The following is a 25,904-nucleotide window of genomic DNA, read 5'->3' on the forward strand; positions in this document are numbered from 1 at the left end:
TTCAGACCACACTGAGCCATAATTCCAATTCCCACTTGACTAACATTTATGTAGTATTGTGCTAGGCACTACATGTTATCTTAATTCTAATAATTTGGCATTTTTCCATATGAGAAAAATAAGATTTAGAAAGATTAGATTACTTGCCCAAAATCACTTAACCAGTAAGTGGTAGAGACAGGATTTGAATGCAGATCCTCTAAGGCCAGTGTTTATTCTCATACTGCATGATCCCTCAGTATCACTACTAAAATTTACTGGAGGATAATGGAAAGTGGAAAATCTGAACTGGAACTTGGGACAATCAAGCACTGACTTACCTGTGTTCATAATGAAGCATTTAGCAGAGATGTTGTTTGTTGTTTTGTTTTGTTTTTACTGGGGAGGCTATAGTACATAAACAGAGCGAAAGATCTTGGTATGGTTAAACCCACATTTTCAAGGCCTTCTGTGTTCTCCCTGATGATCAGGTACCTACTACCCCAAAATCTGTGATGGTAACAAAGAAGGAGGAAGGCAGCTGTAGAAAAGCAACGGCCTTTGGGTATACCCAGTAAGATTTATGTGATTGTAGAAAGAGCAGGCAAATGGCTTGGCCTTCAGAGAATCCCACAAAGTAAAGTAACCTTTTAAAATAGTAACTTAAAGTCTGACATAAGATTCTTAACAGGATATTCATCACAAGATAAGATATTCAAAGCATAGCGTGTAAGACATTCAAAGCATATCAGCAAAAAAGGAGAGATTCCTTCATTTTTATTGAAGTATGGTATACTCACAAAACAAATTTAATATCAGGAATATAAAACAAGAGATACGATGTTCCAATTCTGGCTTTAGTCGGATATTATAAAATTTAATCCCAATTTATAGATAAGGCAATTCAAGGCTCGAGATTACACACCAAATAAGTGGACTCTAGGCTGGGTGTGGTGGCTTCTGTAATCCCAACACTTTGGGAAGCCAAGGCAGAAGGATCGCCTTAGCTCAGGAGTTTGGGACCGGCTTGGGTAACATAGTGAGATGCTGTCTCTACAAAAAAATAAAAAATAGCCAGACATGGTGGTATATACACATGTGGTCATAGCTACTCAGGAGGCTGAGGCCAGAGGATCGCATAAGCCCAGGAGTTCAAGGCTGTGAGCTGTTATCGAGCCACTGCACTCCAACCTGGGCTACAGAGCAAGACTCTGTCTCAAAAAAAAAAAAAAAGGAGGGGGGAGCCTCTAGAACATAGGCCTTTAATCTGTGTGGTTGTTTTGCAATTTATATGTATAATTTTTAAATAATATGTTGGCCGGGCACAGTGGTTTGTATCTATAATCTCAACACTTTGGGAGGCTGAGACAGGAGGATTGCTTGAGGCCAGGAGTTTGAGACTAACACAGGCAACATAGCAAGACCCCATCTCTACTAAACAAAATAATAATAATTTAATATGGTGGGTTTTTTTGTTTTTTTTGTTTTTTTGAGACGGAGTCTTGCTCTGTCTCCCAGGCTGGAGTGCAGTGGCGCTAGTGAGCTCATGCAATTCTCCTGCCTCAGCCTCCCAAGTAGCTGGGATTACTAGCGCTTGCCTGCTTCAAAAGAAATGATTTCCAGCACCCCATTTTTTCTTTTCCAGCCTCAAAATTCATATCTCCTTTTTTTCCCCCATGTCCACATGTCCTTCATTCCTATACTTCATAGCTTTAATTCCTGTTCTCTTGATACAAACCTTCATGTTTGTTGCTTGATGGCATCATAATTATCATAACTTTTTGGCTTAATAACAGTAGCAGTTATATCAACAAATAATAAAATGTTCATACTTTTGAGCCAATAATTCCACATATAGAACTTCATTCTGAGAAAATACTTTAAATAAGAAAAATAGTTAAAGGCACAAAATGTTAATAGCACTGATATCTATACTGTCTAAAACTTGAAACCTTCTAAATATTCAACAATATAATAATGCCTAAGCAAATTATTGCCTATCTACTCAGTGGGCTGTAAGACATTCATTTTTCACAATAGCGTCTTTAAGAATACATTGAAAGATGTTGTAAGAATGTTTTTGCAAAAATGAAAAGGAGAAACATCAGAAGAAAAAGTAGAAAAACTAATGTGATTGGTGTCTATTTCTGAAGCATTTATATTTTCTATATAATAATAATTTACATTTACTGACCACTTACTTGTGTCAGGAACAATACTCAAGCAACATTATAGAAGCAACAATTTGTAGTTATTGAAAACTGGTGTTCTAGAATCAAATCTGAGCTTCATCACTTACTAATATGTGGTCTTGAAAAGGAAATGGAGGATAACTATGTCTACATTAAATTATTAAATCTATATAAAGTATTTGGCACATACAAAACCTACAATAAGAATGTTTTTGTTATCAGACATTTTATAAATATGTCTCATTTAATCTTCACATCCTCACAGTAACCTCATTAGATAGTGTTAACGTTCATTTTACATGAAAGAAAATTGAAACTTCAAATGTTTAAATACTCTAGGTTAAATAACTTGCCGAATCACTTAACTAATAAGCAGTAGAGTTTTTATTCAGAGCCCAAGCTATGGTTTCCACTTATGACTCTGAGAGATGAGGTTGCTGCAGACTAATGCTTTTGCTAAGAACAGGAAAGATGAGAATTAAAAAGAAAAGTGAAGGCATCAGAGACCTGCTGAGGCATCCAGGACTTAAGAAACCACAACCATAGAACCAAAGGAGCTTCAGAGAAGTGGGCTGATGTTCCATGCTTCTCTTTTTTCCTAGGAATTTGCTAATTCTTAGAGCATGACAAGATGCTGTGAAACTTAGCAGAGGGTTTCTTCTAAAAGCAGAGAAGCTGTTAGTTTTATGGGGCGGAGCAGACAAAACTTGGATTTTAGAGATCTCCAGGTAGCTAGTTCTTGGGTCAAGATCCCTAGAGAAGGACAGTACCCAGAAACTTTTTTAAAACTTGTTTTCCCCTCACAGTGTTTGCTAGGCAGAGTCTAGAACTGTAAGAAAGTTAATTTGTATTGCTTTAAGCCAATAGCTTTGGATAACTTGTGACAGCAACAATATGAAACTATTACAGAGACATGAGGAAATGATGAAGAAGTCTAACATACATATGACTGGAGGAGAGAAAGTTAGAAGCAGTAATATTTTAAGAGACAGTGATTGAGAATTTTCTAAAACCGATGACAAATATCAAGCCATGGATTTGAAAAGTGCAAGAAACGACAAGCAGAATAAATACAAGGAGTACCACACTTTCATTCTTCATAGTAAAAATAAAACTGTTGAAAGTAACCAGAGGAAAAAAGACACATAATCTTCAAAGGAACAATTAGACTGACATCTGACTTGTCAACAGAAATAATGGGGGCCAGAAAACAATACAATGTAACTTTTTTGTTTGTTTTTTTGCTTTTACCTACTTGGTTTATTTATTTTTTATTTTATTTTATTTTATTTTGAGATGGAGTCTCCCTCTGTCACCCAGGCTGGAATGCAGTGGCGTGATCTCAGCTCACTGCAACCTTTGCCTCCTGTGTTCAAGCGATTCTCCTGCCTCAGCCTTCCAAGTAGCTGGGATTACAGGTGCATGCCACCACACCCAGCTAATTTTTGTATTTTTAGTAGAGACAAGGTTTCACCATGTTGGCCAGGCTGGTCTCGAAGTCCTGACCTCAGGTGATTTGCCTGCCTTGGCCTTCCAAAGTGCTAGAATTACAGGCATGAGCTACCATGCCCAGCTGGTTTTTTTTGTTTTTTTAATTGACAAAAATTATATGTATTTATCATGTACAGCATGATGTTTTGAAATATGTATACATTGTGGAATAGCTAAATTGCGCTAATTAACATATGTATTACCTCACACAATTTATGTGGTAAAAACACTGAGCATCTACTCTCTTAGCAATTTTCAAGAATATAATACATTGTTATTAACTATAGTTAACATGTTGTACAATAGATATCTCAAACTTATTCCTCCTATCAAACTGAAATTTTGTGTCCTTTGACCAACATCTTCCCAGCCCCACCCCACCCCTGGTAACTACCATTCTACTCTATACTTCCATGAGTTCAGGTTTTCTAGATTCCACATATGAGATCATATGGTATTTGTCAGTGCCAGGCTAATTTCACTTAACAGATAATGCCCTCCAGGCTCATTCATTTTGTTGCAAATGACAGGATTTCCTTCCTTTTTTTAAAGCTGAATAGTATTCCATTGTGCGTATATACCACATTTTCTGTGTTCATCTGTTGATGGATACTGAGGCTGATTCCATATCTTGGCTATTGTGAATAATCTGGCAATAACCCTGAGAGTGCAGATATCTTTTCAACATAGTGATTTCATTTCCCTTGGATATATTCTCAGAGAATGCAACCTTTAAGTTCCTTAAAGAAAATAACTGCCAATCTAGAAATCACGATGGCAATTAGAACACATTTACAACAGCGTGATTATGAAAATACATGTGAATCAGTTAAAGATATACTCAATGAAAAATTTATAGCCTTAAATGCATATATTAGAATAGAAAAAAGTAAAAAATCAGTTATCTAAATACCCATCAAGGTAGGAAAAGAACAGCAAATTAAACCCAAAGTAAGTAGAAGAAAGGAAATAATAAAAAAATAGAAATCAATGAAATAGAAAACAAATTGTTGGCCAGTCGCAGTGGCTCACGCCTGTAATCTCAGCACCTTGGGAGGCCGAGGTGGGTGGATCACCTGAGGTCAGGAGTTTGAGACCAGCTTGGCCAACATGGCAAAAGCCCATCTCTATTAAAAATACAAAAATTAGCTGGGCGTAGTGGCAGGTGCCTGTAATCCCAGCTACTCAGGAGGCTGAGGCAGGAGAATCACTTGAACCCTGGAGGCGGAGGTTGCAGTAAGCCGAGATCGCGCCATTGCACTCCAACCTGGGCAACAAGAGCGAAACTCCGACTCAAAAAAAAAAAAAAAAAAAGACAACAAATTGGCATTAGGAAATAACAAGACCAAAAGTTGGTTCCTTAAAAAGATTAGTAAAATGCATAGACCTCTAGCAATATTGATAAAGAAAAAAAAAAGAGCATAAATTACCAGTATCAGGAATGAAAAGGGAAAATTTCTTTACAGATTCTACAGATGTCAAAAAGGTAGGAAGATACTATGAACAACCTTACATAGACAGATTTGAAATTTTAGATGAAATGGACAAATTGTTAAATGCTTTATTAAAATTGGCATATAAAAAATTGACATGAAGAAATAGAATATCTGAATACTGTTTTTATCTGTTAAGTAAATTGAATTCAGTATTTAAAATTTTGGCTGGGCATGGTGGCTAATGCCTGTAACATCAGCACTTCAGGAGGCCAAAGCTAGAGAATCATTTAAGTCCAGGAGTTCAAGACCCTGTCTCTACAAGAACATTTTAAAAATTAACCGGGCATGATAGCGTGCACCTATAGTCCTAGCTACTCGGGAGGTAGGAGGATCGGTTTAGGCTAGGAGTTCGAGGTTACAGTGGGCTGTGATTGTGCCACTGCACTCCAGCCTGGATGTTAGAGACCCTGTCTCTAAAAAAAAAAAAAAAAAAAAAAATTTCTTCAAAGAAAACCAGGTCTACCTGACTTCACTGGTGAATTCTTACAAATATTTAAAGAAGAAATAACCCCAGTGTTACTCAAACTCTTCAATAGAATACAAGTCGTTTTATGAGATCATCTAAGCCTTAATGCCAAGAGCTGGCAGTGATATTTTGAGAGAAGATATTTACAGAGCAATCTCTTTCGTGAACCTAAATGTGTTACTTGGGAATATAGGAACTCTAAAAGAATCTATAGACAAACTATTAGAATTAATAAGCAAACTTACACGAGCAACCAACAGTTAGAAAGTGAAATTTTTAAAATGCCATTTACAATAGAATCAAACAAATCAAATTTAAGTCTTGTAAGATCTTTACACAGAAAACTATAAAACATAGAGAGAAACAAGATATAATAGGTAGTCATAGATTGGAAGACTTGGTATTGTAAAGATATCATTTCTCTCCAAATTGCTCTATAGATTAAATGGAATCCTAATAAAATCTCAGGTGATTTGTGTACATGATGGAAGGAGGGACTTACAAGTTGATTCTAAAATTCACATAGACATGAAAAGGACTAAGTAGTCAAGACAAACTTGAAGAACAAAGTTGTAAGACTTTATCAGATAACAGGATTTATTATAAAGCTACAGTAATTACAATGTGGTAATGGCGCAAGGATAGACAGATCTGTGGAACATAATTGAGAGCCCAGAAACAATCCCATATGTATGTAATCAATTTATGACAACAGTAGCATCCACCACAGTAGGGGAGGGATGGATTTTTCATTGAATGGTGCCTGGTTTTGTGTGGAAGGGGCAGGGAATGAATCTTGAACCCTTACCTCACAACATATACAAAAATCAGGTCTAGTTGGATTATAGAGCTAAATGTGAAAGAAAAATTTAGGGAGAAACTGGAAAACACCTTTATGATCTTGGAGTAGGTAATGATCCGAAAAGGAAGGAGTTTATGAAATTAAAAACTTCATAAACTCATGAAATTGGAGTTTATGAAATTAAAAACTTCATAAACTCATGAAATTGGAGTTTATGAAATTAAAAACTTATCTTCAAAAGACATTATGAGAGTGAAAACACTAGTCACAGAGTGAGAATACATATTTGTAATACATGTATTCAACAAGGGACTTGTAGAGCTCTTACAGATAAATAGGAAAAAACAAATAATCAAATTTTGAAAAGGACAAAATACTTCAATAGGCACTCCACAAAAGAAACTATCCAAAGGCCAATATGCACCCAGCTATTTTATTTACATTAAATAAGTGCAAATTAAAGCCACAGTGAGATACTTGGGACCTCTCAGTATCTTGAGGCCTCTCACTACATCCCCACTGAAATGGCTAAAATTAAAAAGATTGAGAATATCAAGTATTGATGATGTGAAGACACTGAAACTCATATGTTTCTGGTAGGTGTGTGTATTTTTACAGCCATTTTGGAAAACAATTTGGCCGTATATTCCAAAGGTGATCATACACCCTCTGACCCAGCTGTTCCTAGGTATACACCCAACAGAAATTTATATGTTCACCAAAAGACACAAATGGACAAGAATGTTCATAGTAGCATCATTCTTAATAGCCCAAATGTCCATCGAAATAGAATGGGTAAACAAATGTTTCTTGTATCTACATGGATGATCACCAAGCATAATATCGAGCAAAAGAAGCCAGATAAGTGCATGTAAGTACAAATAATTACATAGTATATGAATAAAGTTCAGAAACAAGCAGAACAAATCTTAGAAGTCATAGTAATTACTTTTACAGGGATAGTGAATGGGAAGGGGCATAAGGTAGGGGATTTCTGCTTGTTGTAATATTCTGTTTATTCTGATAAGGCTACAGGTGATACAGTCTATGAAAAGTTGTCAAGCTGTACACTTAAAATTTGCATAATTTTTGTTTTATAGTCTATTTATTTTGGAGACAGTCTTCTCTGTCACCCAGGCTGGAGTGCTGTGGCGCGATCTTGGCTCACTGCAGCCTCCGCCTACTGGGCTCAAGCAGTTCTTCTGCCTCAGCCTCCCAAGTTGCTGGGACTACAGATGCGTGCCACCATGCCTGGCTAAATTCTTTTATTGTATTTTTTTTAAGTAGAGATGGGGTTTCACCATGTTGGCCAGGCTGCTCTCAAACACCTGACCTCAAGTGATCCGCCCGCCTCGGCCTCCCAAAATGCTAGGATTACAGGTGTGAGCCACTGCACCCAGCCATTTGTTTTGTACTTTAAGTTTACTTAAACCCTCCACTCCCTCAATGACTTGAAGGACTGTATTATTTTTCTCTACATTCCCTATACACAAACCATGTAGGTGGTATGCTTCTACCCCACCATTCCATCAAAAGGGCTCTACTAGGTTACTAATAACTTCCATGTTGTCAAAAAACTTGGGCATCTTTTACATTCTCATTTAACCTCAGTAACATGTAGGTGCATCTTTTTTTTTTTTCTTGAGATAGTCTGACACCACGCATTCCTGGCTCTCTGCCTACCTCTGTTCATGTCCTTTTTGCAGTTCCTCCTCTACTCATCTTCTAACTGTTGAGTTCCTCAGAACACAATTCTAACTCCTTTTAACCTATTATCTCTCCTGAGGTTATATCATACATTCATGCTTTAAAATACTATCTACTATACTTGCTGGAAACTCCTAAACTCCTGTCTCCATCTCAGACTTTTGTTCTGTATACAGAGTACAACTTGATATTTTATCTCAAAGGCATCTTAAAATGAACATGTCTAATCTTAATACTTTTTCTACTTCTACATCTCGAGTATTCCTTATCTCCATAAATGACAACTCAGTCTACTAATTTCTTCGTTAAAAATCTTGGGCTCATTCTTGAGACCTCTTACTAATCCCCTTACCCGTTCAACACACACACTTACACACCCCCCTATCCAGACCACTGCAAGATTCTATTGATTCTACCTCCTAAATATATCTCAGATCCACCCTCTTTGCTACATCTCCACTGTTGTTATCCTTTTCTAAGCCACTGTCATGCTATGGTGGACTGGTGGACTATTGCAGTAACTACTTCCCTACTGATCTTTATAGATCCATTTTCTTTTTTTTTTTTCCCTCCCCCAAGATGGAGAGTCTCACTCTGTTGCCCAGGCTGGAGTGCAGTGGCATGTTCTCGGCTCATTGAATCCTCTGCCTCCCAGGTTCAAGCAATTCTCCTGCCTCAGCCTCCCAAGTAGCTGGGGCCATGGGTGTGCACCACCATGCCCAGCTAATTTTTGTATTTTTAGTAGAGACTGGATCTCACCATGTTGGCCAGGCTTGTCTCAAACTCCCAATCTCAAGTAATCCACCTGCCTCAGCCTCCCAAAGTGCTGGGATTCAGGTGTGAGCCACCACACCTGGCCTCTAGATCCATTCTTACACATCTATTCTTTACACAGAAGTCAGAATGAACTTTTAGAAAGCATAAATGTCACATCATGCCCCTCCTTAAAATTTCTCCTTAAAATTCCTCAGAGGTTTACTCTTATACTTTGGGGAAAACCCGGATTTCTGACATGGCCCCAGATCTGTTCTGGATTTGGTTCCTGTCTACCTGTCTTTGTTGCTTTCCTCTCTGGCTCATTTTTCTCCAGCCACAAGCCGCCTTTCACTTCCTCCAAAGCATCAAGTTCTCTCTCACCTCTGGGTCCTAATAAGCTAATTCCTCAGTATGCAATGTGCCTACTTAACATTTAGCTCTCAGGTTATGTGTTCCTTCTTCAAAGAGGTCCCCTGTCTAAATGAAGTCTCCCCTGTTATTCTATAGCTTTCTGTTCTTTTCCTTCAGAGCATTTTAAACAAATTTAAAGTTTATTTATTGGTATATTTGCTGAACGTCTTTCATCTCCAACTGTAGTTTTTCATGAGGGCAGAGACAATTTGTTCACCATTGTATTGCTGGTATCTTAACCATGTACCTGGTACATATTACTGAAAATATGTAATGAATAAGAAAATAGATCATGCCATCCTAGGTAAACTATAGGTCGGGAAGTACTTCATAGGTGTGTGCTGTGCCCTGAGAGCATGAAGGAGTTGCTTGTTTCCTCTGGTTTTTGATGTTTTTGAAGTTTTTGATGATTAGTCTTCTCAGTGCTAAGCTAAATTGGCAGTGTGTGCAGATTTTATTTAAGCCCCCACAGAGGAATACACCTACCCACATTTTTTAGATTGAAACTTTTTTTTTGTTTTTTGAGACGGAGTTTCACTCTTGTTGCCCAGGCTGGAGTGCGGTGGCGTGATCTCAGCTCACAGCAACCTCTGCCTCCTGGGTTCAAGCGATTCTCCTGCCTCAGCCTCCTGAGTAGCTGGGATTACAGGCATGCGCCACCACACCTGACTAATGTTTGTATTTTTCTAGTAGAGATGGGGTTTCACCATGTTGGCCAGGCTGGTCTTGAACTCCTGACCTCAGATGATCTCCCTGCCTCGGCCTCCCAAAGTGTTGGGATTACATGTGTGAGCCACTGTGCGCAGCCCTAAGTTGAAACTCTTTAAAAGTAAAGATAGAGAGTTCTCAATAGCAGTCTTGACTAAATAACTTTGTCTTCTTTTCTAGAACTGCAATTTTGTTCGTTTTTTTGAGACAAGATCTGGCTCTGTGGCCCAAGCTGGAGTGCAGTGGCATGATAACTCACTGCAGCCTTGAACTCCTAGGCAAAAGTGATCCTCCCGCCTCAGCCTCCCAAGTAGCTTGGACTGCAAGCTCATACCACCACACCAAGCTAGGTTTTTAGTTTTAATTTTTTTTTTTTTTTTTTTTTTTTAGAGACAGGATCTGGCTATGTTGCCCAGGCTGGTCTCAAACTCCTGGGCTCAAGCGATCCTCCCACCTTGGCCTCCCAAAGAGCTGGGATTACAGGTGTGAGCGACTGGACCCAGCCAAACTGCAATTTTAAAAAAATACATAAGGGCCCTACAAAGAAAAGTTAGTCTAATCGCATTTGGTTACTCCTGAGATTTACAATATTGTTTGTAAATATTATTAACTATTTTAGTCACATAAATATGCCATAATGCAACCACAGTAAGTATATGACATGTCTTTTAATCAGAATAATCAGAATAAAGCAAAAAATGACCATATTTCACAATATTAATGTATTCACGTGTTTTATAGGTTATACACATCTATTATGATTTGATATTACAAGATACTCTGCATTTTCTTATATAGCTTGGGTTTGCTTTCTCCATCTTAGATGTAGTTTTTAATTATTGTTTTTGAAGCTGGTTTTAATACAATAAGATGCTTAATTGTACGTTTGGTAGAAAATTATAAGCACAACAATTTGAAACAGCTTTCAGGCTACTAGCATTTCCCAAAACCCTTGAAAAAATGCCTGTTTACTACCAATTTTAAACCAGATAAATTTCATTTCAAGAGAAAATGTTTTCAAGTTTCTTTTTTTTTTGAGACGGAGTCTCCTCTGTCACCCAGGCTGGAGTGCAGTGGCGTGATCTCGGCTCACTGCAAGCTCCGCCTCCCTGGTTCACACCATTCTCCTGCCTCAGCCTCCCGAGTAGCTGGGACTGCAGGCACCTGTCACCACGCCCGGCTAATTTTTTTGTATTTTTTTAGTAGAGACGGGGTATCACCGTGTTAGCCAGGATAGTCTCGATCTCCTTACCTCGTGATCCACCTGCCTCAGCCTCCCAAAGTGCTGGGATTACAGGCGTGAGTCACCACGCCCGTCCGTAGGTTTGGAGTTCATTATAAAGAATAACTTTACAATTGTCAGAGCTATTGAGAAGTGGAAGTAGACATTCCCAAGAGAGGCTTTCAGGTTGGGGGCTGAGCCTTGGTTGTATGATTGGACTCAGTGATCTTTGTGGGACCTTCTAATCTTGGAATTCTCATCTTAACCAATGCTGCTTTTTTTCTTTTACTTTTTAAAACTGTGGTACATACAGTAAAGTACAAAAATCAATGAATTTTTACATAGATATATATGTGCCTGTGAATATTTTCGTCACTCTAGGAGGCTCTTCAGTCATTACCTTCTCTCTCCCCACGAGAGATAACCACTATTCTGATTTCTGTCACTATACGGTTGTTTTACTTGTTATTGAGCTTCATATAAATATATTCATAGAATATTTATTCTCGTGGGTCTGGCTTCTTGGCTCATCATTATATCTATGAAATTCATCCATGTTGCATGTAGCAGTAGTTCAATCTGTATAGTATTCCACTGATTTCATTGTAGGACTATATCATAACATATCCATGCTACTGTTGATGGACACATGGGTTGGTTCCACTTTGAGGCTATTATTTAAAAAGCTGCTATGAACATTCGCATACATGTCTTCTGTTGGTTATATACACTCATTTCTCTATGATATATTACTAGGAATGGAGTTGCTGGTTCATAGGATAGGTGTATTTTAACAGATATTGCTAAATAGTTTTCCAAAATGATTGTCCCCATTTAGATTCCCAGTAGCACCGTCAGAGAATTTCAGTTCCTCTCCATCCTTGCTACCACTGTGTATTGTCATTTTTTTTTATTTTAGCCATTCTGGTGGGTATATAATACTGTCTCTTTTTCTATAGCTATTGATCATTTGGATAGTCTCTTTATGAAGTGCTTGCTTTGTATTTAGCCCCCTTTTTTAAAAAAATGGGTCATTTATTTTTAATCTTAGTGATATTTAGGAGTTCTTCGTATATTCTAAATATGAGTCTTTAGGGAATATATGTATTACAAATATAATTTCCCAGTCTGTGGCTTGCCTTTTTACTCCTTTAACATGATCTTCTGATGAACAGACATTCTTAACTATAGTGAACTCCAATTTGTCACTTTTCTCTAATGTGGTTAGTGCTTTGTCCTCTTTAAGAAATCTTTGCCTAGCCTAAGATCATGAAGACATTTAGACCAACAATTCTTAAATTGTGGTATTAAACTAGATAATAGTGAACTTTTGTTGGTTTACACACACAAAAAGAAGTAAATGGATAGAAATGTACTGTTTTCTCCCATAATTTATTTTGAAACCTTGGGTATTAACTATAAATAAGTAGATAATGATGTTACTTAAATCTGAAATTTATTAACTGAGAAGGTGTCAGTTAGGATAGGCTAGGTTATTGCTATTTATATTGCTGTGGTAATAAACAACCACAAAATCTCAGTGGCTTTCTTTTCTCACTTATGCTATTTGTCCAAAGTGAGTCAACATGGGGCTATGCTATTTGTGGTCACTTAGACAACCAGGCGGATGTAAACTACATTATAATATATACTTCCACAGTCACTGTATTCAGGGGAAGGAAACATGGCAAATTGCTTATAGACTCAGATTTTCTGCCCAGAAGAATCATATGTCACTCACTTTCATTGCCCATGAGTTACATGGTCCTTGTGTCTTCTCTGAGGCAGTGAGGAAGTTTCCTCTTATGTTTCTGAAAGGAGATCTAAATATTTTTGAATAGCCATAGTGACTATCACAGTAAACATTTGTAAGTTACTTAACCCCTCTGTGGATCAGTTTGTTCACTATAAAATAGGTGCTAATGATAATATCTACTTGATACGGCAGATGTGTGGATTAAGTGGTATCATACACGTATAGCTCTTAAAATAGTGCCTGGTACTTAGTAAGCAATAAATTCTTGCTGCAATTATTGCTATCATTATTGTTATTAGGCTCTTACTATATGATGACACCATACTACCTGCTTTATTTACACAGATTACTTCTTGAGATAACTTCTATATAGTATGTACTATTACTCTTCTCATTTATAGGATAAGAAAACCTTGGTTTGGAGCTTTTGACTAGCTTGCCCAAGTTCCACAGCTAATACGTAAAAGATGAGATTGGAATCTAGGCAGTCTGACTCCAGAGCCCTCAGTATAAACTGAGACTCCCTCCCAGATAGCAAATAAATATGAACAGAATTCAGAAGTGCATACCATGCTTAGAGAACTCTGTGTTTGTTTGTGTACATATATGTTTATGGTTGTGATTTTATATTGAATTTTTAATATATTCCTATTTTCTGCTAGTTTGTTAGTGTTTCTAGTTCATATAATTAAATATACTGTTTCTCAGTATTCTATGTAGTCTGACAGCTAAACAAATTTGAAGTTGATTTTGTTCTTCATGAACAGGTGAAAAAACTTGAGCCAGAGTCATTTAGTGATCCCAGAAACCAGTTAGTTGGTAGTATATCCTGAACTCAAAGTCAGATTTCCTGACTTCGATTCAGAGCTCTTCCTACTGCCTCAGGTTGTCTCCTTGTAGTTTATGCAGCATATCATCCTTTATCAAATATTTGAGATGCTTTTTGTCTCCAAATTTTGAGTGAATTTGTTGTAGAAATCACAGTTAAGCTTTTTTTCCCTCATAGCTCACATTACTACATCTTGATTGTAATTTATCAACTTTGTCTTTTAAATATTCTAATGTTACTAAACACCCAGGGCCAAATTAAATATTTGGACAGAGTTTCTAGTAAGAATAAATGCCTCCAGAGAAGCTTCTGTGGAAAAATATTGTAATGATGAGCTTGAGAGTACCAATAACTTTTCTTTTTCGTGTAAGGCAATTTAGAGTCCAATTTCTGAAGGCACAGAGATGCCAGTGGAATTAGAGATGAATCAAACACATTACATTTTAGGTTTATCTTAAGGTATATTGGCAAGAAGTAAAACAACAACTTACCAAAAGCTTGTTACTTTTCCTGCCAGTGACATAAGAATGTACATATAACAACCTCAGATATATTGTAATTTTCAGAGTTAAACCTCTTAAGGAAATGCTGAGCTCATTTTCCTGGTCTGTTTTCCCATAATTAAATGGTATTCTTGTTTGATAATTTCAGTGTATTTTCATGTAACTTATCTGGAAAGTTAATAGGACATAAATTGAGTTAGAACTTCTCAATATATTGCTATATAGTGGAGATATTCAATAAGGAAGTCACAACACTTTTTTCCCCTCAGTATCAAAATATGTCAGTTATCTGTCAAGAAAATGAACTGAATCTGTGCTGTGTGTTATTGCACTCATGGGGAAATACTGTTTTGAGGCTACATGATCCTTGTCCTGGCCTCGTGCAATTTAAAACATTAATTCTTGTGTTAAAATAAATACTGCTTTATAAAACTGACTGCAGAATTTAAGGGAATTTTTAATATAAAGCATGAGGTTTATAAATTGTGCCCTTACTCTCCCTGCTAGACATGCGTACTCTTCTCTGCCCTATAGTCCTAATTCTGATGAGAGAGAGAAAGAATATATCATTAGCAACTATCTTTAAGGCATCTTTCAGCAATAAGCTAGAAACTCCTTGTTTGTTTGTTTTTGAGATGGAGTCTTGCTCTGTCACTCAGGCTGGACTTAGAAATCCTTCTAATGGTGTTTTTCTGGAAAGGGGAGTATGGAGAGTCTGGCAAAAAGGGAATTTTAGCTCTACGTGTAGCCATATTTTTTTTACAAAAAAGAAACTAAGTATTGCATGTGAAATTAAAATTTAATTTTAAAACATCTGTGATCCTTGATGGCACTTTTCCTCTTTCTTTAAAGTAACAAAACCATACTGCTGAAGGTTGAGTTTAAAACAAAGATTGGAAAGTAATTATTCATAATTTCACCACCCTGACATAACTACTTTGAACTTTTTTTTTTTTTTTTTTTTTTTGAGACAGAATCTCGCTCTGTAACCCAGGCTGGAGTGCAGTGGTGTGATCCCTCATCACTGCAACCTCCACCTCCCAGGTTTAAGCGATTCTCCTTCCTCAGCCTCCAGAGTAGCTGGGATTATAGGCTCCTGCCACCATACCGGGCTAATTTTTGTATTTTTAGTAGAGACAGGGTTTCACCATGTTGTCCAGGCTGGTTTTGAACTCCTGACTTTAAGTGATCTGCCCACCTCGGCCTCCCAACACTTTGAACATTTTGATGTGTTTCCTTCCAATCTTTGTTCTTATATATCTATTTTTTATGATGATGATGATGATGATGATGATGATTATTATTATTATTATTATTATTATTATTAAGTTAGGGTCTCACTCTGTCACCCAGACTGGAGTGCAGTGGCACGATCTCACCTCACTGCAACATCCACCTCCTGGGTTCAAGCTATTCTCCTGCCTCAGCCTCTGGAGTAGCTGGGATTACAGGCGCCCACCACCATGCCTGGCTAATTTTTGTATTTTCAGTAGAGACAGGGTTTCACCATGTTGGCCAGGCTCGTCTTGAACTCCTGACCTCAAGTGATCCACCCATCTCTGCTTCCCAATACTTTGAATATTTTGATGTATTTCCTTCCAATCTTTTTTCTTATGTATTTATTTATTATTATTATTATTACGACAGGGTCTCACTGTGTCACCTAGGCTGGAGTGCAGTGGCACGATAATGGCTCACTGCAGCCTCAACTTCCTGGGCTCCAGCAATCTTCCCACCTCAGCCCAGCCTCCCTACTAGCTGGGATCACAGGCGCGTGCCCCCATGCCCAGATAATTTTTGTATTTTTGGTAGAGATGGGGTTTCGCCATGTTGCCCCGGCTGGTCTCAAATTCCTAAGATCAAGCAATTCACCTGCCTCAGCCTCCCAAAGTGTTGGGATTACAAGTGTGAGCCAACATGCCCGACCTGTATCTATTCTTTTAATATACTTATAATCCATATACTTTCTCATAAATGTTTCATTGATAACTTTGTAATATAATTTTTAAAATAGCTTTCACATTCTTTTATTGTATGCAGAGCTTGTAAAGAAATATTTGATCCTCACGGTAGCCCTTTGAGGTAAATAGAATAAGTTTTAGCCCCATTTTACATATAAGGGTATTGAAGCAGATGCTCATATAACGCCTCTACTTGGTACTGTGGTAGACTTCTGTTCATGACAGAAGTACTTGCTAACACAGGCAAATGAGTGCATTTAATGTTGAAAGAACAAAACAAATCGTTCTGTAGATTCTTATTCCCTGGACTTAGTCCTTCCTTCCTGGGCTAAGTGAACCCTTGAACAGCACTAGGCAATGCTGAAAATACAGATTTTGTCAGATTTTAGTAAGTGCTCTAAACACCAAGAATCTTGAAGTGATATAATGAAAGTTACAGCTAATGTAGTTTTAAACTTGTTTTTTCTTTGTTATTTCACCTTGAAAAAAAGAAACAATCAGTAGCTTTTAAACAAAAAAGATTAAATCTAACCACTTGTTCTGAATTACTATGGTAGGGTGAGAACTGAGGCTCTGTGTATGGAAGTTGAAGTTTTATCATGTTGAGTAGGTTATCAAAGGAGAAATGTTCCTAGGAAACTGGTCTTGTAGAGCTTAAATGTGTCAAATGTGAATTCTATGGCTATGTGTAACTTTCTGAAGTCCTGAGCATTGTTATTAGGTTTCAAAGGCAAAATATAGCAAAATAATTCTGAGTTTTTCAATTTATTTCTGTTTAAACTGTAAAGCATGTTACAGTTGTGCCTATTCATCTTGTGAAGAAAACTCTAAATTTCATCTTACTGTTCAGAGTAGTAAAGACCACTAACTGCTTTGCCTCCCTGTAACTAAAGTTTTCTGTCTTCAGCTTTTGGCTGAGGAAATTCCTCTGCTATCGAGCATCCTCTGTTTTTCTTTTAGGAAATCTTCCTAGGAAGAAAATTTAATTTGTAAGTCAGTTGATTAAAATGAAAAACACTTTGATGGGATTAGTTTCCATTTATTACACTATAGTTTTTATAAATGTTCTTCAATTTTCCTTCTGAAACATGTCATCCTTTACTTGCAGTCTTCATTGGCTTTTGAGAGGGTAAACGATTTAGGATTTATTGCCTGTAAAAGGAAGAAACATTCTTTCTACCTCCTCTCTTCAGCGTTGTCTCACAGCTGCAGGTTTGAGCTGAAGAGCTGTGTAAAATGTAAGAAAATAGAGGAACAGTGTTCCTTGAACCAATAAGGACCCTTTCCCTGGAATTGTTAACTATGAATTTTATGTTTGGGTTCAGATACTAGGGACCTTTGTTACTTCTGCTTTCTCATACAGTAGTTCCCCTTTATCCATGGGGGTACATCCCAAGACCCCCGGTAGGATGCCCGAAACCATGGATAGTAACAAATCCTATACATATGGTACACATGAATTTCTCCTTCTTCACAATTTCACAGATTTATCTTTACTGTAGGTCTTAGCAACCTCAGCATTTGTGATTTTTTTTTCCTTTTGTTAAGTTGGGAACTTTTACCTTTTCACTTAAAGAAGCACTTTACAGCTTCTCTTTGGCATATCCATACTGGCAGCCTCACTTCTCTTCTGCTTTGGGGCCGTTGTGAAGTAAAATAACACCAGCCCTGCGATACTGCGACAGTCGATCCAATAACCTAGAAGGCTGCTAAGTGACTGATGGGCAGGCAGTGTATACAGCATGGATATGCTGGACAAGGGGAGGATTCACATCCTGGGTGGGATGGAGCAGGACAGCATGGGATTTCATCACACTACTCAGAACAGTGTATAACTTAAAACTTATGAATTATTTCTGAAACTTCCCATTTAATATTTTTGGACTGCAGTTGACCATGAGTTAACACACTGGCAAAGCAGAACCACAGATAAGGGGGGACTACCGTCTATGCTGATTGAGTTGCTTTTCGCAGACTCCAGCCTTGAATTATATTGTTTTAGAGCTACCTACCTTAGTATGAATCTGGATTTTCAAACGTGTAAGGACCCAGAGCTGTGTGGTCCTTCTCAGGTGTTTTCTCAGCTGGTGTTTTCTGTTTCCTTCAGCTCTCCAGTGCATCTGTGAATGTATTAGGATAATTAACAATTACCTTAGCTGGTTACCTAACCCATTCAATTCTTCTTTCTCTGTTTTTCTCATATATTTGAATAAATACCGTTATACACATCAGCCATTACCCTTTTTCCACGTCCCCTACTAGATTATGAACTGTAAAATAATAAGTGTTGTTGGGATTTTTAAATCTTATTTACCTCTGTATCTTTGATGCCTAACATAGTGACATATGATAAACTGAAAAACATTGTTTTTCAACTTTAAAAAAAAAACTCGTGTCTCCTCTTGATAAATACATAAATTCCCTTTTCTGATATACCCTGCATGTGAATCACCAAGATGTGAGTAAAAAGTATACATATGTGGCTGGGTGCGGTGGCTCACGCCTGTAATCCCAGCACTTTGGGAGGCCGAGGCGGGTGGATCACAAGGTCAGGAGATCGAGACCATCCTGGCTAATACAGTGAAACCCCATCTCTACTAAAAATACAAAAAATTAGCCGGGCATGGTGGTGGGCACCTGTAGTCCCAGCTACTCAGGAGGCTGAGGCAGGAGAATGGCGTGAACCCTGGAGGCAGAGCTTGCAGTGAGCCAAGATCACGCCACTGCACTCCAGCCTGGGTGACAGAGCGAGACTCCGTCTCAAAAAAAAAAAAAAAAGAGTATACATATGTGTCTTTACCAAACAAGAACATTAACTTTTTGTGCTTTGTGTACTTAAAACAAGCTTGGTTTTGTTTTTTGTTTTTTTCCTCCAAATAGAAAATTGACTGTCACTGAAAACACCTTTTCATATATCACAGGCCTTCTAGAGGGAGTAAGGCTTTACCAGCATTCCCCATCCCAGCTTATATGGACCCACCTTTTTACCGTTTCATAGTACACCCATGTCCCAGGAAATAGGGGAAGTACTCTACACTAAGGAAATAATTCCAGGTTTTATTGGATTACTTTAACTCTTAGTTCAGGCACTGGTCCAGAAGTTGTCTTACTTGGGCAATCACCTCCTTGTTTACTAATAATAAAAGCAGTGCTTAGATTGCCTCTGTAGGAAGGGCAACTTGGGACCAACAGGCACCATGAAAAAGCCAACGAGGTGGACTGTGACCTCAAAAGGCAACACTCTGCTTGTAAAATGACAAATTTTGCTTTGGAAGAGGAAGTGTTTTTTATTTTCCCTGCGTTATCACCGTGCTTTACAAAAACTGATACAAAATACTATTCTTAGATGTTTTGGTTTTGTGGAGTTTTTTTCTTCACAACACATTTTCCGTCCTAATATTGACAGTTCTCCATCAAGGTTCCATTGAGGGGGCAAAAGGCATATACAGTGATCCAATTGTCTAGCAAGAAATCTGAACTGTGCCAGTCTCTTTTGATGATCTAGTACTTCTGTGGTTTTTAAGAAGATATCTGATTTAAGTTTCTAAATTTTTACTTCAAAAAAACATGTACCATCACATAAGGAATTTGGAGAAAAAAATCATAAAGATAGAAGTTTAATTTTTGTTTCTAACTCTGGCCTCTTTTTCTCCCTTTTTATTTTTCGAAAACAGAGTCTCTACAAGGAAGATAACGGACTGTAAAATTCTATAAAGCAAAGCTACACATCACTTGACACCATACACCATCTTGGTTACATAATGAAGGTGATCAACAAATGTTTGTTGAAATATAAACTCTCTAGGCATTTGCATTAGATGGAGCCTGGATTATTTCTTTTGTGGCCAAAAAACCCCGCTATATTTAGCTTCAAAAAATTTGCAAATAGTATATTGTTAGTACAAGTCACCCTTTTTTACTAAACTGATTACAAGACTACAGTTAAAGTATATGCAGGCCACAGTTTATAGATTCTAGTCCTGATGTTTTTTCCAGTTATTTTGAACTTAGAAACTAGCTTTACCTTCAAAATATATTAAGAATCTGACCACTTCTCACCATCTCTACTACTGCTATTCTGATCTAATTCTTCCAGCTGTTTTGTTGCAGTCGCTTCCCAAATGATTTCCTTACTTTCCCTTTTCCCTCTCCACCTTCATTCAGTCTGTTCTTAAAATAGCAGCCAGAATGATCCTATAAACTTGTTAAATTTTATGCCTTATCTGCTGAAAACCTTCCAGTAGCCCCGGTTAGCTTTCAGACCTCATCTCCTTTTCCCACTAGTTCAGTCCAGCCACATTTGCCACCTCCTCAGTCACACCAGGGGGACTTCTTTGCACTAGTTGTTTCCTCTGCTAGGGCCACTCTTTCCCCCACATACATGCATAGTTCTTTCATCTCCTTCTGGTCTTTTCCTAAAGATTACCTCAGTGAAGCCTTTCATGGCCTCTGTATATAAAATTGCAGACACCCCATTTCCTTGAACTGTTCCTAACCTCTTTCCCTGCCCTGTTTTTTCTTGGTACTTCAAACTATGTATCATTATTCATTTTACTTATTTTATCTTGTTTTTTGTCTGTTCCAGTACACTGTGAGCTCTATAAGGGCAAGGATCTTTGCCTGTTTTGGTCATTGCTGTATTCCCAATGCATAGAAAATGCCCAGGATAGTAGATAATATTTGTTGAATGAATGGATCAGTTTCTCTATAGTTTGGTTCCTAGGGTAGCCTACCAACATTTTAAAAATCAATAATAAGGCCGGGCGCGGTGGCTCACGCCTGTAATCCCAGCACTTTGGGAGGCCGAGGTGGGTGGATCACAAGGTCAGGAGTTCAAGACCAGCTGGAAAAAAAAAATTAGCTGGACATGGTGGCAGGCACCTGTAATCTCAGCCACTCGGGAGGCTGAGGCCGAGAATTGCTTGAACCAGGAGGTAGGGGTTGCAGTAAGCAGAGATCAAGCCACTGCACTTCAGCCTGGGCAACAGAGTGAGGCTCGTCTCAAAAATAAATAAATAAATAATAAAATAAAGATCAATAATAGTCATAGGAGCCTGGACTATCAATTTTAGGTCTAGAGAGCCATATTTTCTGTCCACCCCCACCCCAGTGCCCAGCCAAACACACCCCTCCTTATACCCTTCTCTTGAAGCAGCAAGCCTTATGTTTAGACCCTAATTGCCTCTCCCTACCTCAACCCTCCCCTAAAACCTAAGTACTTAATTACTCCTAAATTGCCTCTTCTCTCTCCTCGTCTTTTTCCCTCTCATCTCACATATAAAAACCTATGGTGAAAGAGTTTTTAACTGAATTTCACTTAACTGAACCCCAGTTAACTGCCTGGCAGGATTAGCCAGTGTTCTCATTCACACTGTAAAACATATTGATTAATGTCCACAGCCCACTGATTGCTTTTAGCTAAACGTTCACAGCTGGTAGACTACTCTCTAGTAAGCCTCTTTTCCTTCCTCCAGTTAAATTGTATGCATATCAAAGTCAGTTGTGTTTATTCCCAAACCTCTTTATACCAGTTCTCTGGCATAATAAAATACATAATTATAATATTCTAAATATATAATATGGCAATTTTAAAATGAATGAATGTTATATTTTAGAGCGCTTTTAGATTCACAACAAAAATGAGCAGAAAATACAGAGACTTCCTATATATTCCCTGTCCCCCCACACACACAGCCTCCCCAACTATCAATATCCCTGGCACCAGAATGCTACATCTGTTACAATCAATGAACCTATATTGACACATAATCACCATAGTTTACATAGTGTCCATCACTCTTGGTGTTGGACAGTCTGTGAGTTTTGACAGATTTATAATGACATGTATCCACCATTGTATCACGTAGAAAGTTTCACTGCCCTAAAAATGCCGTGTTCCACCTATTCATCCTACTCCCCTGGCAACCACTAATCTTTTTACTGTCTCCATACTTTTGCTTATCCAGGATGTCAGATAGGTGGATGGATTCACAACATATGGGTTGAGTTTCCCTTATCCAAAATGCCTGGGACCAGAAGTGTTTCAGGTTTCAGATCTTTTCAGATTTATTTTTTATTTATTTATTTTTTTATTTGTTTTTTTGAGACAGAGTCTTGCTTTGTCGCCCAGGCTGGAGTGCAGTGGCACGATCTCGGCTCACTGCAAGCTCTGCCTCCAGGGTTCGCGCCATTCTCCTGCCTCAGCCTCCCCGAGTAGCTAGGACTACAGGCGCCCACCACCACACCCGGCTAATTTTTTGTATTTGAGTATTTGCATACACATAATGAGATATGTTGGGGATAAGACCCAAGTCTAAACAGGAAATCCATTTATGGTGTATCCATTTACCTTACACATGGCTTGAAGGTAATTTTATAGCAATGATTTTATTTATTTTGTGTATGAAACAAAGTTTGTATACATTGAACCATGAGAAAGCAAAGATGTCACTCAGCCACCCACATGTACAGTCTGTGATTGTTTGGCATCACCATTATTCCTGATTCAGAATTCATGTGCTACCAATAAGAATCATTCTCTTACACTTATTTGCACATAAGTACTTAACAGTAAAAAATGTGACATACCATTAATACAATGAAAAAATAATGTGTTCGGGGTAAGCAGTACAGTAGCATCACCAGTGCACCTGTGCCAGCTGTTAACAACAAACAATGGCAAGTTGAATAAACTAATTATCGTGTGCCAGTGTTTTTATTGTGACCCATTACGTGAAGTCCCATGTGGAATTTTTGTATTTTGTATTTTCATACAATGAAGGAGAGTTCTTGTTCCACATCCTTGCCAGCATTTGGTGGTATCAGTGTTTGGGATTTAGGGCATTCTAATAGGTGTGTAGTGGTAGCTCACTATTGTATGAATTTCCTCTTGGGTCATCAAGTGGGCACTCAGGAAATTTCAGATTTTGGAGCATTTTGAATTTCTGATTTTCAGATTAGGGATGCTCAATTTATATAGCCTTTTCAGATTGACTTCTTTCACTTAGTAATATGCACTAAGTTTCCTCCATGTCTTTCCATGGCTTCATAACTCATATCTTTTTAGCAGTGAATAATATTCTATTATCTGAATGTATCACAGTTCAGCCACTCACCTACTGAAGGACATCTTGGTTATGCCCAAGTTTTGGCAATTATGAATAAAGCTACTATAAACATCTGTGTGCAGGTTTTTGTGTGGACGTAAGTTTTCCATTCATTTGGGTAAATATTAAGGTAAGAAGTGCGATTGCTGGATTGTATGGCAAGAGTATGTTTAATTTTGTAAAAAACTTCCTGTCTTTTGAAATGTCTGTACTGTTTTGTATCCCCACATAATGAAGGAGAGTTCCTGTTGCTCCGCATCATTGTCAGCACTTAGTGGTGTCAGTGTTTGGGATTTTGGCCATTCTAATAGGTTTGTAGTGGTAGATCATTATTGTTTTAATTTGCAGTTATAGTTGGCCCTGTGTATCCTTGGGTTCTGCATCCACAAATTCAATCAGTTTGGGGTGGAAAATACAGTATTCGAGAGACACAGAACCTATGGATACAGGGCCGACTTTTTGTAATCATGGGTTCTGCAGGGCCAATTGTGGGCATCTACAAATTTTGAGCTCGCAGTGTACTGGAACAGACAAAAAACAAGATAAAATAAGTAAAATGAAAAAAGATACATAGTTTGAAGTACCAAGAAAAAAACAGAGCAGGGAAGGAGGTTAGGAACAGTTCAAGGAAAGGGGGTGTCTGCAATTTTATATACAGAGGCCATGAAAGGCTTCACTGAGCAAAATTGATGTTAAAGATTCAATACTTAGACATGAATATCTAACGTGAATGGAAAGTTGAAAATTCCAATACAGAATATACATCAATCGGCCATGTTCACTAAAGTAGACATGAACACTGACTCTATTGTTTGAAGATAGTCTCACTCCTTACAAATAATAAAGGAGAATGCATATATGAGGAAACATTTAGAGAATATATTGAGTGTCCCCCAGTTTCAGAGTTAATCCATTTAAAAGACACATAATCTGCAAAAGTGCCTTGCTTGAGCAATAAATAAATACTAATTGAATGAGGAGCCTCCTTCAGTTGAGGGGTATGGTGTGGCTTTAGGCAAAGTCTGGCCACAATATTATGATGAAGCTGTGAAATACATAATTGTATTTGCTCATCAAATGCATATTTAACAAATGCCCATGATATGCTCAAAACCAGGCTGGGGGAAATTTAAAGGTAAACAAGGCACTGTTTATAACCTAACAAAACATATAACTAAGGGTTAGAAAAGACAAGTGTAGTACAGTGAGTCAAGTATTATGATGGGTGTTTAGTACAGAATGCTCTGGTAGTACATAAAAGGGGCATCTGATACATTCTTGATTGATCCAAGAACACATGCTGAAAGAAGACACATCTAAGATGAGATGTGAAGGATAAGAAAGTATAATTGGCCAAACAAGAGAGACTGGGGTACTAGGAAGTATTCCAACCAAAGACAACAAATGGCAGTTGCAGAGATGTAGAGGTCAGAGAATATGGTGCATTTTCTCAGAATGAATCAAAGGCATAAATGTTAAGAGCTAAAATTATAAAGCTCTTAGAAGAACACATAAGGGTAAATCTTCACAACTTTGATTAGGCGGTAGTTTCTTAAATATGACACCTAAAGCACAAGCAACCAAAGAAAAAAAAAAGATAATTTGTACTTTAAAGTTAAAAACGTTTGTATTTCAAAGACCACTATCAAAGTGAAAAGACAACCCAGAGAATGGGAGAAAAACATTTGAAAATAGTATATCTGATAAGTGTCTAGTATCTACAATATAAAAAGAACTCTTGCAATTTTGCAATAACAATACAGTTTTAACCCAATTTTAAAAATGAGCAAAGGAGGCTGAGTGTGGTGGCTCACGCCTATAATCTCAACACTTTGGGAGACTGAGGTGGGTGGCACCTCTTGAGGCCAGGAGTTTGAGACCAGCATGGCCAACATGGCGAAACCCTGTCTCTACTAAAAATACAAAAATTAGCTGGGCATGGTGGTGCATACCTGTAATCCCAGCTACTACTTGGGAGGCTGAAGCACAAGAATCGCTTGAACCCAGGAGGTAGAGGTTGCAGTGAGCCAGGATCACACCAGTGCACTCCAGCATGGACAACAGAATGATACTCTATCTAAAAAATAATAATAATAATACAAAACACAATTTGAAATAGGATTTGAGTAGACAGTTCTCCAAAACAGATAAACAAATGCACAATATGCATAAGAAAAAATGCTTAACATCATTACTCATTAGGAAAATATGAACCAAAATCACAATGAGATACCACTTCACATCTACTAGGATGGCTCTAATAAAAAAGATAATACCAAGTGTGCTGAGGATATGGAGAAATTGGAACCCTAATAGGTTACTGGTATGAATGTAAAATGGTAGAGGTGCTTTGAAAAACAGTTTGATTTTCTCAAAATATTAAACATGGTGGTACCAGATGTTCCAGCAGCTCCACTCCTAGGTATATGCCCAAGAGAACTGAAAACATGTCCACACAAAAATTTATACACAAATGTTCATAAGCAGCAGCATTCATAATAACCAAAAAGTAGAAACAA

The 25,904-nt window shown here is 37.7% G+C and overlaps 1 protein-coding gene across 7 annotated transcripts in view, besides 1 other annotated feature; it reads left to right on the top strand.

Moving 5' to 3' along the window:
• HMG20A (high mobility group 20A) overlaps positions 1-25,904 on the top strand; it is a 99,163-nt gene that overhangs the window by 6,878 nt on the left and 66,381 nt on the right. For 2 of the 7 annotated variants that reach the window (XM_047432109.1, NM_018200.4), the window contains exon 2: positions 19,954-20,046. The exons of the other annotated variants lie outside the window; for them this stretch is intronic. The gene's annotated coding sequence lies outside the window, so the exon portion shown is untranslated. The remainder of the gene's footprint in view (positions 1-19,953; positions 20,047-25,904) is intronic. 7 annotated transcript variants of the gene reach the window in all.
• Positions 2,585-2,684: an enhancer, noted in NCBI's record as "active region_9896". NCBI's record gives its function as "activates an Ori minimal core promoter by ATAC-STARR-seq in GM12878 lymphoblastoid cells {active_cell/tissue: GM12878}" and the evidence as "EXISTENCE:reporter gene assay evidence [ECO:0000049][PMID:35858748]".

Source organism: Homo sapiens, chromosome 15 (genome assembly GCF_000001405.40).
Source record: "Homo sapiens chromosome 15, GRCh38.p14 Primary Assembly".
NCBI classification, from domain to species: Eukaryota; Metazoa; Chordata; class Mammalia; order Primates; family Hominidae; genus Homo; species Homo sapiens.